The 15,008-nt window shown below is 42.6% G+C and overlaps 1 pseudogene; it reads right to left on the reverse strand.

Annotated features, from left to right (window-relative positions):
* On the reverse strand, positions 6,339 to 14,585 carry TSPY21P (testis specific protein Y-linked 21, pseudogene; annotated as a pseudogene).

A 15,008-nucleotide genomic window follows, 5' to 3' on the forward strand; every position in this document is an offset into this window, starting at 1 on the left:
GAAAAGCTACTCTAATTTTCTTAAGCTGCAATACGCAGGATACTCCATTTAAATAGTTTTATTTGAAAACTATGTATATATACTGTACAGTGTGTTTTGTGGATTTTTTTCTTGATATGTAATTTTTCTGTTGCCAAAGTGCACCGCTCACTGCAGCCTCCTCTACCGAACCTCAAGTGATCCTCCCACGTCTCATCTAATGGGTAAGCTACAGGCACTCACTACCAGAGCTAGTAGGCACTTTTTTGTGTCTTTCTTTAATAGACATGGGTTTCCCCGTGGTACCCAACCTAGTCTCAAACTCCTGGGCTCAAGCTATCTTCTGGCCTGGTGCTACCAAGGTGATGAGATTTCAAGGGTGAACCACCACGCCCAGCTTGATATTTTAATAAATGATTAAATCAAGCTAACTAAAATACATGCTTCCTTGGGGGAGAACATTTCAAATGTTTTACATTTTAGTGATTTGAAATATACAATAGATCAGGGATCCCCAAACCCTGGTCTCCAACCGGTATCTGTCTGTGGCCTGTTAGGAACCTGGCTGCAGAACAGGTGGTGAACCTCTGGCACTGCCTGAGCCCCGCCTCCTGTCAGATCAGCGAAGACATTGGGTTCTCACAGGAGTAAGGGCCCTACTGTGAACTGCGCATACGAGGATCTAGGTGGCGCTCTCCCTAGAAGATTGTAATGCCTGAGTGTGACCTGAGGTGGAACAGTTTCATCCAGAATCCATCCTCCCTATTCCCCGCTGGCCTGCCCTGTCCCCCTCGCAGCCCCGCTGTCCCACCACTGCCCCCCGTCACACTGCTCTGGCCTGAAACCCCTTCCTACACTGTACTCCTCCTGGAACGGCCGCCCCCCACCTCCCCAAGGTGTCCACCTCACCACCTTCTCCCCCTACCCACCTCTTTTCTGTGAAAAAATAGCTTCCACTAAACCGGTCCCTGGCGCCAAAATGGCAATAGATTAAAGGGCTCATTATGTTCGCAGACTGGTCTCCAACTCGTGACTTCAAGCCATCCTCACATCTCCTCTTCCCAATGGTAGGAATTACAAGAGTAAGTCAGTGTGGCAAGTTAATAGAATAACTTAAACGCATTTATTTTGTCTCCGTTTTAAGCTATCTATCACCATTTATCTGGATTACACCCACTTATTCGGTTTAAATTATTTACGGTGCCAGACATACATGAAACATGTTTCAAATACTGTCATACAAGGAAGGAGACAATTAAAGGTTTTACGGAAACAAATTTAAACTGAGATTATTTATGGCCCCAGACTTCCTCATACACTAAAGTAATGCAATTTAGGTCAAAATTTCATAATTCCTGTCAAGCAAATCATAAATTTGACATGTGATAAGTAAAACTACAAGGTGTTTTTTTGAGACGGAGTCTCGCTCGGTCGCCCAGGCTGGAGTGCAGTGGCACGATCTGGGCTCACTGCAAGCCCCGCCTCACGCCATTCTCCTGCCTCAGCCTCCCAAGTAGCTGGGACTACAGGCACCCACCACCACGCCCGGCTAATTTTTTGTATGTTTAGTAGAGACGGGGTTTCACTCTGATCTCGATCTCCTGACCTCAAGATCCGCCCACCTCGGCCTCCCAAGGTGCTGGGATTACAAGCATGAGCCACCGCGCCAGGCCAAAGTACAAGTTTTTAATCACAGTGGTTAAGTATATTGCCTATATATTTGAATTAGGACCACATTCACAGAGAAAAACCGCTTTAACAAAAAGTGCACATGAGAAAAATGGCGCCCTAGCTCCATCTCCCACAACTTGCCCACATGTCGGGCACGTCCGATAGTAAAGGGAAGAATACTCAAGAAAAAGCAGCGAGTTTAACGAAAGTAAGTTTCGTAGTAAGTAAAGCAGTAAAGAGTCCTCTCCCTACTGTTTCCTCCCATAATTCAACACCCACACATTGAAAACCCATCGCCTTTTATAGAAAAAATCCAAAAACTTCGTGGTCTTCGTACTCCTGCCAAGAAATCAGTTATACCCATAAACATAAATCCACACATAATAACAATTATAACCTTTCTTAACATTTGCCAAAAAAAGCCTGAGAAAAATGGTCTGAATTAACACATTTCCTCTATTCGCAGGAGATGATGTAGACATTAATTCTTTCACCTGAGATACAAACATGTCCTCTCTGCTTAAAATTAAGAATTTTTTGCCTAATTTTCCTGATTTTCTGAGAAACTGCCTGCGCGCCACCCTCTGTCACCACGAGCTGAAGGAACAGTTGAGGCTAGTGGCGTACCCAGCTATAAAACTTAGAAACACGGATATACCACCACTGTGAGAGCCGCAAAGGAAGTAGGCAAAGAGAAGCATAACATAAATAAAAGGAAGAGTGGCCCAAGAAATTTTGAATTAAAAAAAAAAAAGAAAAGGAAAATTTTTTATGTAATTCAATTATTTAAATGTAATATATAATTTAATTATACTTTTAGCTATTTTTAAATGAACAGTTAAATTATTTTTTAATATAGTCACCCTGTTGTGCTAGCAAAAACTACATCTTCTTTATTCTATTTTTTATACTGATTAACCATGTACCCTGCCCCTCCACCTTCCAACTCCTGATTATCCTTCCCCGCCTCTTGCAACCATCCATCTACATTCTATCACTATGAGTTCAATTGTTTTAAGTTTTAGCTCCCACAGGTAAGTGAGAACATGCAATGTTTGTCTTTCTGTGCATGGCTTATTTCACTTAACATAATGACCTCCAGTTCCATCCATATTGTTGCAAATGACAAGATCTCATTTTTCTATGGCTGAATAGTACCCTCTTGCATATATGTACCACATTTTCTTCATCCATTATTCTGTTGATAGACACTTAGTTTCCTTCCAAATCTTGGCTATTGTGAGTGGTGCTACAATAAACATGGGAGTGCAGATATCTCTTCAATATACCGATTTCCTTTCTTTTAGGTATGTATTTAGAAACGGGAGTGCTGGATCATATGGTAGCTCTATTTTTACTTTTTTGAGGGACTTCCAAACTGTTTTCCATAGTGATTGTACTAACTTCCATTCCCTCCAACAGTGTGTGAGGGTTCCATATTCGCCACACCCTCACCACCATTTGCTATTGCCTGTCTTTTGAATAAAAGCAATTTTAACTGTAGTGAGAGGATATCTCATTATAGTTTTGATTTGCATTTATCTGATGATCAATGATATTGAGCACCTTTTCAGATACCTGTTTGCCACTTGTATGTCTTCTTTCCAGAAATGTGTGTTCAGTTTTTTCATATATATATGTATATATACATATGAAAACATATATATATATATTTATTATATTTTAAGTTCTAGGGTACTTGTGCACAACCTGCAGGTTTGTTACATATGTATACATGTGCCATGTTGGTGTGCTGCACCCATTAACTCATCATTTACATTAGGTATATCTCCTAATGCTATCCCTCCCCCTTCCCCCCACCCCACAACAGGACCCTGTGTGTGATGTTCCCCTTCCTGTGTCCATGTGTTCTCATTGTTCAATTCCCACCTATGAGTGAGAATGTGCATTTTTTTTGTCCTTGAGATAGTTTGCTGAGAATGATGGTTTCCAGCTTCATCCATGTCCCTACAAAGGACATGAACTCATTTTTTATGGCTGCATAGTATTTCATGGTGTATATGTGACAGATTTTCTTAATCCAGTCTATCATTGTTGGACATTTGGCTTGGTTCCAAGTCTTTGCTATTGTGAGTGGTGCCGCAATAAACATATGTGTGCATGTGTCTTTATAGCAGCATGAATTATATTCCTTTGGGTATATACCGAGTACTGGGATGGCTGGGCCAAATGGTGTTTCTAGTTCTAGATCCCTGAGGAATCGCCACACTGACTTCCACAATGGTTGAACTAGTTTACAGTCCCACCAACAGTGTAAAAGTGTTCCTATTTCTCCACATCCTCTCCAGCAGCTGTTGTTTCCTGACTTTTTAATGATTGACATTCTGACTGGTGTGAGATGATATTTCGTTGTGGTTTTGATTTGCATTCCTCTGATGGCCAGTGATGATGAGCATTTTTTCATGTGTCTTTTGGCTGCATAAATGTCTTCTTATGAGAAGTGTCTGTACATATCATTCACCCACTTTTTGATGGAATTGTTTTTTTCTTGTAAATTTGTTTGAGTTCTTTGTACATTCTGCAGCCCAAAATCTCCTTAAGCTGATAAGCAACTTCAGCAAAGTCTCAGGATACAAAATCAATGTGCAAAAACCCCAAGCATTCTTATAAACCAATAAAAGACCAACAGAGAGCTAATTCATGAATGAACTCCCATTCACAATTGCTTCAAAGAGAATAAAATACCTAGGAATCCAACTTACAAGGGAAGTGAAGGACCTCTTCAAGGAGAACTACAAACCACTACTCAATGAAATAAAAGAGGACACAAACAAATGGAAGAACATTCCATGCTCAAGGATAGGAAGAATCAATATCATGAAATAGTGTCCAAGGTAATTTATAGATTCAATGCCATCCCCATCAAGCTACCAATGACTTTCTTCACAGAATTGGAAAAAAACACTTTAAAGTTCATATGGAACCAAAAAAGAGCCCGCATTGCCAAGACAATGCTAAATCAAAAGAGCAAAACTGGAGACATCACGCCACCTGACTTCAAACTATACTATACTACAAGGCTACAGTAACCAAAACAGCATGGTACTGCTACCAAAACAGAGATATAGACCAATGGAACAGAAAAGAGCCCTCAGAAATAATACCACTAATCTACAACCATCTGATCTTTGACCAACCTGACAAAAACAAGAAATGGGGAAAGGATTCCCTATTTAATAAATGGTGCTGGGAAAACTGGCTAGCCATATGTAGGAAGCTGAAACTGGATCCCTTCCTTACACTTTATACAAAAATTAATTCAAGATGGATTAAAGACTTAAATGTTAGACCTAAAACCATAAAAACCACAGAAGAAAACCTAGGCAATACCATTCAGGACATAGGCACGGGCAAGGACTTCATGTCTAAAACACCAAAAGCAATGGCAACAAAAGCCAAAATTGACAAATGGGATCTAATTAAACTAAAGGGCTTCTGCACAGCAAAAGAAACTACCATCAGAGTGAACAGGCAACCTACAGAATAGGAGAAAATTTTTGCAATCTACTCATCTGACAAAGGAAAAAAATTTAAAATGCCAAAATATGTTCTATATAATTTTCATTTTTTACTTTTTTGAGTTGTGGTAGTCTGATCAACCTTAAAAAAGTATTTTTATTATGAAATAGTCATCCATATTTCATCCCCCTCTCAAATATTAGCAATAAGCTCACTCTACATGGTGTCTGCTTATTTCATAAAATAATGCACAAAGGAGAAAAGCAATAACTGAATTTTAAAGAAATCTATAAGAAACAAGCAATAATAAGTAAAATAACATCAAAAGAAAGCAAGAAAAATAAGTCAATTAGGAATGTAAAGTTTTGTCATCTTAATCTTGTATCTTCCCTTTTTGGTTGTAATATAATATTTGAACAGCTTATTTTATTTGCTTATGAGATAAATGTAGTGATTTGACCCAAACTTCCAAAATTAACAGAAACAATATACACACATAGGCGGTTTCTCTGTCCTCAGTTTGTGTATAATAAATAACATCCTTAATTAACAGAGCTCTAGTAAAATAAATACCATTTATATTCCTGAAAAAAATATTTTATTAACTGACAGACTATAGTGTCCATTAAGTTATTCTCCCCCATCTATTACATTCTATGAATTTTGCGGCAAAATAAAAATGTAACATAAGAAAATAGGTTTAAATATCTACACAATGCAACCCAAACTTATTTTTCTGAGTTTGTCTATAAATTGTGCATATCAGAATTGTAAAGAACAGTTCTTAAAAAAATGCTTATTATAAGCCACTTTTTAAGTGCTTTATATTAATTTTAACAAATTAAAGTCTATACATTCTATACTCACACTTATGAACTGCTTAGTTCATAAACTATACCATACCAATATAGAGCTGTTTGTGTCTGCATAATATTTTAATTTATCTTTTCAATGTTTTCTTTTCTGATGAATATCCTAACAGTAAAAACATCATCTGAAGGTAAAGATATTTTATGTTATGTATATTTTAGAAAAAGTTTCTTAAATTATGGTTACCATCTCTTGGTATTATTAGTTTCTTTGTTACAAAACCCACAGTAGCATTCTATTCTAAATATGTGTACGTTTTTTATTATTCAAGAGAGGAAACTATTTTCTTTCCAAACATGCTTCTCTTTCATCCCAGTGTCTTCTTCATTACCCAACCTTCATAAGGAATCAATTAGGTAGCCAACAATCATATAGTTGTATAAATTTCTCCTGTTCCAGACTTTCCTCCGAGCATAGAGGAAAGACTAGGGGTCGAAAATGTAGTGGCTGCTTCAGGAAGATCAACCTAGGTCCTAGAGGTACCTTGGGAGCTAGGTAGGGTATGGCATGGTCAGTGCTGACAGTCTGAGCTTGGGCAGAATCCCGAAGATGACTAAGCCCCACTTGGACCATTCTATTCTAAAATACGTGTACATGAAGAAAATAGAACAATGATTAAAATACATAAACAAATGAGCCTGGGCATGGTGGCTCACACCTGGAAGCCCAGCATTTTGGGAGGCTGGTGCAGGCGGATCACAGGAGTACGAATCCAGCCTGGCAAATATGGTGAAACTAGTCTCGACTAAAAATACAAACATTAGCAGGACATAGTGGCATATGCCTGTAATCCCAGCTCCTCGGAAGGCTAAGGCAGGGGAATCGTGTGAAGCTGGAGGGAGAGGTTTCAGTGAGCCAAGATTTTGCCACTTCACTCCAGCCTGGATGACGGAGTGAGACTCCATCTGGAAACAAACAAACACACACATACGCCCCAAAAACTAATGAATAAAAAAAATCTGTATTAGAAAAAGTGCTCACAGGCTAACTCCCATATCTAACAGAAAAAAAAAATCCTTGAAAATGAAAGTTCTGGAAGGGGCAAATAAGAAAACAAATTTAACACCTCACATGTAAACATACTTTAAAGATACTAATTAGAAAATTAGTATCTGTTCTCAGATACTAATAAGTAAGATATTACTTATTATACTATATTACTTATATACTAGTAAGTAAGATATTACTACTAAGTAAGATATTAGCAAAACATACTTTAAAGATACTAATTAGAAAGCACTGGGCCGGGCGCGGTGGCTCACGCCTGTAATCCCAGCACTTTGGGAGGCCGAGGCGGGTGGATCATGAGGTCAGGAGATCGAGACCATCCTGGCTAACATGGTGAAACCCCGTCTCTACTAAAAATACAAAAAATTAGCCGGGCGCGGTGGCGGGCGCCTGTAGTCCCAGCTACTCGGGAGGCTGAGGCAGAAGAATGGCGTGAACCCGGGAAGCGGAGCTTGCAGTGAGCCGAGATTGCGCCACTGCAGTCCGCAGTCCAGCGAGACTCCGTCTCAAAAAAAAAAAAAAAAAAAAGCACTGAAGTGCTCAATTCTATCTTTTTAATAGAACTTGCATTTAAATAGTCATTTCAATAAAATCCTTTACTCTTACAGTAAGAACCAATTATTAAATGTTGATTACCTAGCTCCTGGATGGTTTTCTAAGTATTTCAGAACTGTTGTTTTAGTAATAACCACTTAGCATACTTGTGAGAATTACTGGTTCTACAGGTCTCATTTCAGATGATTGGACCGGGATTTTGAAGGAAAATAGCTAGAAGTATCTGGGTATATATTTTATGACCCACGTAATTATTTGAGGATGCTTGTGAAACTCTGGTCTGACAAATAAGATACAGTAAAACAACAACAACAAAAACAACAAAACCAAAAACAGAACCAAAAAAAAGACCCCAAAAATAAGCCACACGTGAAGAACATCAAGCCAGGAGTCAGGAACAAATACTTTATCTTTTCCTAACTTCAGGATTCTCAATTTGTATGCCCCTATCTTCTTTTTCATTCTTGGTAAATACTACTCCAACTATCCAACACTTCAGAGTACTAATTAACCTGTTAGTTTGAAATTCAGCAAAATATATGAAACCTATTTCTGAACATTTTCTTTAGGATCCTATTTCTAGCTATACACCTGTGTCAGTTATGCTATACATGACTATAAGATAGCAGTATTTAACAAAAATATTTGACCACTGAGGCAAAATTATCTTCTGTAAATGATCCACTGCTACTAAGATTACGTTGACAATTTGGATATTGTACTGACATTTTGAATTTCATATATTCGAGGAAGATTGGAAAGCATCTTCAGATGTCATTGTCTATAATGATAAGAGTTAATGCTCATATTAACTTCCAAATTTTTCTATGTTAAAGCAGGTGTGCAGGTATTGCATGAACAGGTAGGCCACTGAAGCATAACTGTGGTTAAAGCTGTAAAAGTTTTGGCGAAATTGCACATAACAAGATCTCCACAGAAAATTTAGATTTTGGCTCAGCTAGGAGATGTTGAAGAAAATTACATTTCTTATTCTTAATGATTCCCCAGCTGGATCTTAAAGGGAGATAGCATGATATTGTGGAAAGAGGTAGTTTTGTAATTTGAAATTAGACTTTAAGAAAAGATGATGATTTTGAGACTCAAATTTCAGATGTATGAAGTGGGGTCTAAAATATCTAGTACCTGTGTTTGTAGTTATAAAGATCATATAATAACAATTTATTTTATTTGGCTTGTACTTTTCCGTAAAACAAAGACATCATTTAACTGTGTTACTATAGGTTTGTGTGGGCATTTTAAAGGAACATTTCTCTTGTGATAAATAACATAGTAATACTGACAGAGAATGATTCTTACTCCAACATTGACATTGCAGAGCTCCAGCTGTTCTCTAGAGAAACTGGCGTGAATTGAAGAAAAAACAGTGGATGATTGAAGGTAACTTATGAGCCAGTCTTTATTTACTAAGACTATGTAATTCTCAGAGGGGACATACAACCTGTGAAGAGTTGGATATGAATGATGGAGACTCATTGAGAAGCGGCTGCCTCAAGGATCATCCTCTACATTTCTAGCTTGAAATACAGAGTATTTGGTGCTGTGAATTTCTGAAATAGTGGAATACTGTAGGAGGAAACATGTTTTGGGGATGAAATGAAGGTCTGGTTTGGTATGTGGAGATGTAAGGCATGCAGTTGGATATGCCAAGTGTGAAGGTAGAACAAAGATCTGGCCTGAAGTTGGGAATTTCTTAATGGTAAGCATAGAAAGGGTGTTTTAGCCTTGAGAAAACTCAAGAGGATCCATGACTAAAATCTGCACAACTTCAACACCTGTAGATTTAGTAAAGATGCCAACAAAATACACACCAAGTTCGTATTAAAATTAATGAGAAAAGACAAACGACTTAGTGAGAGGCATTCGGGCAACTAGCATTTAGCTAGATATTAGCTAGGAAATTTGGGAAAAAATGAAATGTCTAAAGAATCTTTGATCAGGTTTCCAAATATACAAAATAAAAACCACTTACATGTTAGAAGACAATATCAAAATGATATTATGTTAATGGTACTATTTAATGCTAATAGACAAAAGTGAAAATTATTGTGAATTAAATCAATAGACAATATATTTTCTATCACTGTCTTTTCTTCTCAATTTGTGTGTTGTTTTAATTCACTAAGCAATGACTCCTCTTAATTCCACTACTTTTTATTTAACACTGCATTTTTTTTCATATGTGCAATATTACACTGTCCAATAGAGAGGAAATGCAGAATTTGGGCTGTTATATCAGAAATACCTTAGTTTTTCAGCTTTGAGCTTCTGGAGTGTGGTTAATTTAAATATTCTCATCAGGCCTCGATTTTTCTAATTTCTGTAATCACTTCTCCAAAATAAACAATGTCTGAAACTGATGACTACAGTGAAATTAAAATTATGCTGGCTTTTAAGATAATTATGTTTATGTAAATTTGAGGCTTTCTTTGGGGGGTGTGGGGTGGTGGAGACAAATCTTTGCTCTTGTGACCCAGGCTGTAGTGCAGTGGCATGATCTTGGCTCACTGCAACCTCCGCCTCTCCGGTTCAACCGATTCTCCTGCCTCAGCCTCCCAAATAGCTAGGATTACAGGAACATGCCACCACACCCAGCTAATTTTTGAATATTTAGTAGAGATGGGGTTTCACCATGTTGACCAGGTTGGTCTTGAACTTCTGACATCTGGTAATCCACCAGGCTTGGCCTCCCAAAGTGTGGGGATTACAGGCGTGAGCCACCCCACCTGGCCTTCAAATTATATTTTCATACCCACTCACTTCCACAATTTTTTGGACCCATCTAGACATTTTTAGTGCATTGCTTTAAAGTGAATAAACTGCATAAACTGTGTGGGAGCATATCTTTGGGGTTATCTGCATGTGCTCTTCAGGGGGCGGGGGCCGGAAATGGTATTAGAGTTCTTGAAGAATTTATGAAAGAGAGAATGACAATACTATACAAGGTTTAACCTATTCACAATACTGTATTTACTGAATAAAAACATTACTTTTAAAATTCTACTATTGACTAAATAAATAAAATACATTCTTTCAATCACTCTAAAATATGTGTACATGAAGAGAATAGAACAAGGCTTCAAATACGTAAACAAATAAATGAGGCCGGGCATGGTGGCTCACGATGTAAACCCAGCAGTTTGGCAGGCAGAAGTGGGTGAATCACTTGAGGTCAGGAGTTGGAGACCAGCCTGGCAAATATGGTGAAACCCAGTCTTGATGAAAAATACAAAAATTAGCTGGGCATGGTGGCATGCACCGGTAATCCCAGCTCCTCAGAAGGCTGAGGCAGGGTAATGGCTTGAAGCCAGGAGGCAGAGGTTGAGGTTGAGCCAAGATCCTACCACTTCACTCCAGGCTGGGTGGCAGAGCAATGCTCCTCAAAACACACACAGACACCCCAAAAAAACTAAAAAATGAAAATAAAAATTTTGTACTCATAAACTCACATATCTAACAGAAAAAAAGTACTTTAAAACGAAGTTTCCACAAAAGGCAAATAACAAAACAAATTTATCACCTTACATATAAAATTAAAATAATAAACTGAAGAGAACTATAAGGGAAAAAATTCAAAATTTACAAGTAAGTACTGTAAAAGAAGCTGAAAGTCACTCAAAACTTTTCCGGATTCTATGTCTCTACATAGAATCTATGATCATACAAACATGATCATAAAATTTCCCAGGGGCAGAACAATCAAAATGTATCTTAAAACTCAATAAACACTTCAAGTCTCACATAAGAATTGTAATGGAAAATGGATGCGTCTGCAGTATTTCTATACAAATCTGAACAAACACTATTTCTTTGTCCTCATTGTTTCACTATTCCAAGAAAATAACTTCCACATTAATATTAGGGGATGTGACAAAGCAGATCTTCATCATGATAAGTAACACTCGGTGTCCACACCACTACTCAGGTGGGCCTTAATTCTCAGCCAGGTTTCCTCCCTGGACACACAATGAAGGGCTCATTCATTTTGCCATCTCTTCACATTTCCTCCTCTGTGAGCCCAGTGTGGTTTTCCAGATTCCCTGAGTAGTGGCCTCTCTTGTCTGGTGGGGCAGGGTGGGGCAGCGCAGTGTGAGTGATGATGGCGGAGGGCAGAAAGCATCTCAGGGAAGCCTGGGATCATTGTAACAAAAAATGATGGGCCTGGGACAGCCCATCAGGGAGGACGTAGAGAGGGGCCTTGGGAGGATATCTGCGTGGAGGGTGAGAGGGCCCTGGTTGAGCCCAAACTGAGCCCCAAGTGGTAGCCGGCCTCAGGCCTCAGCCGGTGAGGGATGATGAGACAGCTACCACTTGAGCCTTGCTTCTCACCCACTGACCTTAGACACTTATTCCTCTTAGGCGGCTGAAGGTGCCCCAATCCCAAAATGTGGGTGTTAAAGTTCTTTGATGGCCATTTCTCCGCCAGCCCATGGATGGCGTGGGATCGCTCACTGCAGTCACCTCCCTGAGGCTTGGATTCTCCATGTGGGGCACAACTCCAGGAATCAAAGGTCTCTCAGTCCCCAGCCCTAGACTGTTCACCTGGCCTCCTCTCTGTTCACTCTCTAATGGCCTCCCTCCCTGGAGAAGTACTGCAGGGGATTGAGCTACAGGTTCTGGCTGATGATCTGGGGGCCTGCAGAAGTGGGTACAGGTTAGTTCAGGTCATGGCTCAAAGCCAGTTCCCCAGAGGCCAAGGAATGACCAGCAAGATCCTTTCCCATGATGCCCTACCTGGCGCTCACCTCAGCAATCCTGCCAGAACCTGGGCAGTCATGGTCAGCCAACCAGCTGAAGAAGGTCAGGTAGGAGCTGTACGGCCTGCAGCTGGAGGCTTGACCTTCATGATCCCACAACCACTAGACTGCAGTGGAATGAGACATCCCGTATCCTGCAGAGAGAGGAGTCAGGAAGGTTCATGCCAGACCTACCCTCCCACACACCAGCTCCCCTACCATGCTGGGAGGCGCTCCTTACCGAGGATGCCAAGGCAGTACTCCTGAATGATCACTTCATTGTGGAAGTAGAGACTGTGATAAAAGGAAAACTTCATCCTGCTGCCGGTACCCGGAAGAGTTGCTTTCCTCCCCTTACCTGGCCAAGAAGGAGAAAGAGGACGTACTCAAAGGAGCATTTCATGTAGCTGGGGTGAGGTGACCTGTTAGCTGGGGTGAAGCATGTGTTTCTCCTTCCCAACTCTCTCATTGAGACACCCCCGGGTCCCAGGGGTACCTCAACCTGACCCAGACACCAGACCCCTCCCGAAGACTCAGGCTCCTTAGCCTGACCTGCAAATCCATCACGTACGTAGCTTAGCAGGACTTCATCATCATTTGTGATCCCGGCCAACATCTCGGTGTGCCGCACAATCTGCCTCTGGTCAAGGAGCCGCCGGATGATTGGGTGGGCGTGCAAGGAAACACCCTGCAACTTTGCAAGAGCACGGAGAGTGTGGGGCAGGGCACCTTCCCTTCCAGGTCCTCTGTCTCTGTCTGGCGTGGAGGGCACCATCAGAGCTGTGGTGGTCTTGGTGGTGGGTGGAGGCAGGCCCAGACAACCTGCTCTGACCAGGGACTGGCACTGAAGAAGTGGGCAGGGGGTTGGGGGCGGGGTGTTGTTGTGTGAGGCGACTACTTGCTCGGCGTTTCTGAGCTGCAGGAGGCCCTCCTGTGCTGGGTGCTGGACAGGCTCTGCTGCTGTCTGGGTGTGCGGTCTCTCCTTCTCCTGGTCTCCCTGAGGGGTGCACGTGTCCACCCCAGGCAACCGCTGTGGGTAGAAGTAGCTACGGGGCTGTGCCTGGCTCTCCCCGTGGAGCTCGAGTGGTTTCAAGGGAGCTTATATATACTCAGGGCCTAAACATCTTTGGGTGCAGCGCTGGCAGAGGGAAGAAATTGTGTCTGGGGAGATAGTGCCTGCCTTGCATAGGACAGCAGCCCCGTGCACAGTGACACCGAGTCTTGAGCACCTTGTGTTTCTGGGGTAAGCTTGCTGGACACAGGCAAGGGGAGCAGGGAAGTTCCGTGGCTGGCATGGGCATGCAGACTCCCCTTCCTCCAGGGACTTTCCCGGTGAATCGTATCCTTCAACTTTCTGCTGTTATGATGGGTCCTTGGCGCTGCTATTCTCCCTGGTGAGTGCTGTGCTTGGCTTCCTGTCCCTACCACATGCCCTCAGGGCACATGCAATTAAGCTGCCCTCCTATCTGCATGAGCCTGTTCTCAGTTCCCCTTGTTGTCCCCCATGCCCTGAATCCTGGCTGACCGCCAGTGCCTACCACCTTGTTTCCCCCCACCTCCGCTCCCGGGAGCTCCGCGCCCATCCCCTGCTGCCAACCATCCCGAATTGGCAGCTGCAAGGATATGGCTCTGGCCCAGAAGCCGGGGATGCCCTGTGGCCTGGGACATTCACGTAGCCGAGCTCCAAGTGAAGGACGTCCAGCGAGTCTGTTGCTGGCCGGGGCGTACTGGGGCCAGGGCCAGGCTGTGCCTGCAGGTCCTCCTGCTGTGGCTCCACATTGGCCTTCCTCCTTGGCCACCACCTCCATCTCTGCAATGATGTCATCCCCCACTAGCATGCCTCTCCCCGCAGGGTTGTCTTCCTGCTCTGTGCACAGACCATCCTCTCCTGCACAGCCTCCAGCCTTAACATGGTGCCCTCCTTGAGGCTCCAACAGAGCAAAGCCTGTGCCTCCCACCCCACCCCCCCGGCACCCGTCAACTCTGGGGGCAACTCCAGGAGAGGCCTGCGGGCCTTGCCCTGCTGAGAACCACATCCTACACCTATGTGGAACAGGGTTCCTGGGGGGCCCCACAGGGCCCTTAGCCTGTCACACTCACACTGGGGCTCAGCTACCCAGCAGGGTTAGCTGCGCACGGCAGCCCTGGAGTCGGATGCCAAGGCCCTGGCTTCCAGAGCCCCGCTAGCAGGCACACGGCCACCACTGCACTTGTGAGAGCCTCTGCACCAGCAAAGCAGTGCACACGGATCACTGCATTGGCGACCATGGCGGTAGGCCTCCCGTGTGCCCAGGGCACAGGATGAGAAGTCCTTTGGAATGCCCCTGTGAGTACAGCATCCTCAGGGAGGAACCATGGAACTCGGAGTATGTATTTGCCTAGACCTGACAGAATCCTTGCAGGGTTTCAGCTTCTGGTGCAGATGAATTCCACCTCAGCAACGTACCAGTCGACTTTAGTCCCACGCACCCGCCCTGCCCCAATCCCCCCAAGCCACCGCTGCTGCCCTCGCCCCTGCAGCAGCGCTGGTCCCTCTCTCTCCCCTCTGGATCTGCAATATTCGGTACCATCAGCCTAGCCTGCCTAATGAAGTGAGATGTTTCATGTGTTCCCTGTGGGTTAGTTAATGTCTTGCCACACTCAGGATGCCAGTTAGGGTGTAGGTCTTCCATGCCCACAATTGCAAAGGGC

The sequence above is a fragment of the Homo sapiens genome, chromosome Y (assembly GCF_000001405.40).
Source record: "Homo sapiens chromosome Y, GRCh38.p14 Primary Assembly".
NCBI lineage: Eukaryota > Metazoa > Chordata > Mammalia > Primates > Hominidae > Homo > Homo sapiens.